This window comes from Homo sapiens, chromosome 21, assembly GCF_000001405.40.
Source record: "Homo sapiens chromosome 21, GRCh38.p14 Primary Assembly".
Taxonomy (NCBI): domain Eukaryota; kingdom Metazoa; phylum Chordata; class Mammalia; order Primates; family Hominidae; genus Homo; species Homo sapiens.
The window spans coordinates 40,959,696-40,961,024 of record NC_000021.9 but is presented as its reverse complement, the minus strand read 5'-3'; the positions used below and the strand labels follow the sequence as shown (position 1 = coordinate 40,961,024).

The window sequence follows — 1,329 nt, the reverse complement described above, 5'->3', positions numbered from 1 at the left end:
TGGGTTTCACCTTCCCTCTGTGTCTCACCTGACTGACATAGCCAAACCTAACCCCCAGCCCAACTGGCAGGGCTTTCCTGAAGAGTGGCTATCTTGGCTCATGGCCCCTCTAGACAGAAAGACCTTAAGTCTAAATTAGAAAGGAATGATAACAATGAAAATTAAAACATGGAAATGGCCAATTGGTATATTTTTAAGGATACATTTACTAATATTTATTATAAATTTTAATTATACTTAAATTACATATGCTTGTATTTATGGTTATATGGTTATAATGTTCAAGACTATATCAATAATATTATTTATCTACAATATGTTAATATTTTCATGCGCGTCCGTGTGAAGAGACCACCAAACAGGCTTTGTGTGAGCAACATGGCTGTGTATTTCACTGGGTGCAGGCGGGCTGAGTCCGAAAAGAGAGTCAGCGAAGGGAGATAAGGGTGGCGCCGTTTTATAGGATTTGGGTAGGTAAAGGAAAATTACAGTCAAAGGGGGTTTGTTCTCTGGCGGGCAGGAGTGGGGGTCGCAAGGTGCTCGGTGGGGGTGCTTTTTGAGCCAGGATGAGCCAGGAAAAGGACTTTCACAAGGTAATGTCATCAGTTAAGGCAAGGACCGGCCATTTACACTTCTTTTGTGGTGGAATGTCATCAGTTAAGGTGGGGCAGGGCATATTCACTTCTTTTGTGATTCTTCAGTTACTTCAGGCCAACTGGGCATATACGTGCAAGTCACAGGGGATGCGATGGCTTGGCTTGGACTCAGAGGCCTGACATTCCTGCCTTCTTATATTAATAAGAAAAATAAAACAAAATAGTGTTGAAGTGTTGGGGTGGCGAAAATTTTTGGGGGTGGTATGGAGAGAGAATGGGCAATGTTTCTAAGGACTGCTTCAAGCAGGATTAGGGGTGGTGTGGGAACCTAGAGTGGGAGAGATTAAGCTGAAGGGAGGTCTTGTGGTAAGGGGTGATATTGTGGGGTTGTTAGGAGAAACATATGTCGTATAGAATGATTGGTGATGGCCTGGATACGGTCTTGTATGAATTGAAAAACTAAATGGAATAAGAGAAGGAGAAAAACAGGTATAAAAGGTCTAAGAATTGGGAGGACCTAGGACATCTGATTAGAGAGTGCCTAAAGAGATTCAGCATAGTCCTGCCAGCAAAGATTATTTATTTACTTCAAGAGTTTAGAGTGGCAGTTTGGGGATAGCACCAGGAGATATCAGCTGTGATGGCTTGGAGAAACAGTGTAAACTGGCAGTGTAAACAAGAGCAGGGCATGTATGAGTAGTTGAGAACGGTGAATAGGAGTATGATAGACAAA

General features: G+C 42.5%; 1 annotated feature.

Moving 5' to 3' along the window:
• Window positions 301-1,002: an enhancer, noted in NCBI's record as "OCT4-NANOG-H3K27ac hESC enhancer chr21:42331949-42332650 (GRCh37/hg19 assembly coordinates)". NCBI's record gives its function as "activates a minimal SCP1, AML or CMV promoter by ChIP-STARR-seq in naive and primed H9 embryonic stem cells {active_cell/tissue: H9 hESC(naive and primed)}" and the evidence as "EXISTENCE:reporter gene assay evidence [ECO:0000049][PMID:30033119]".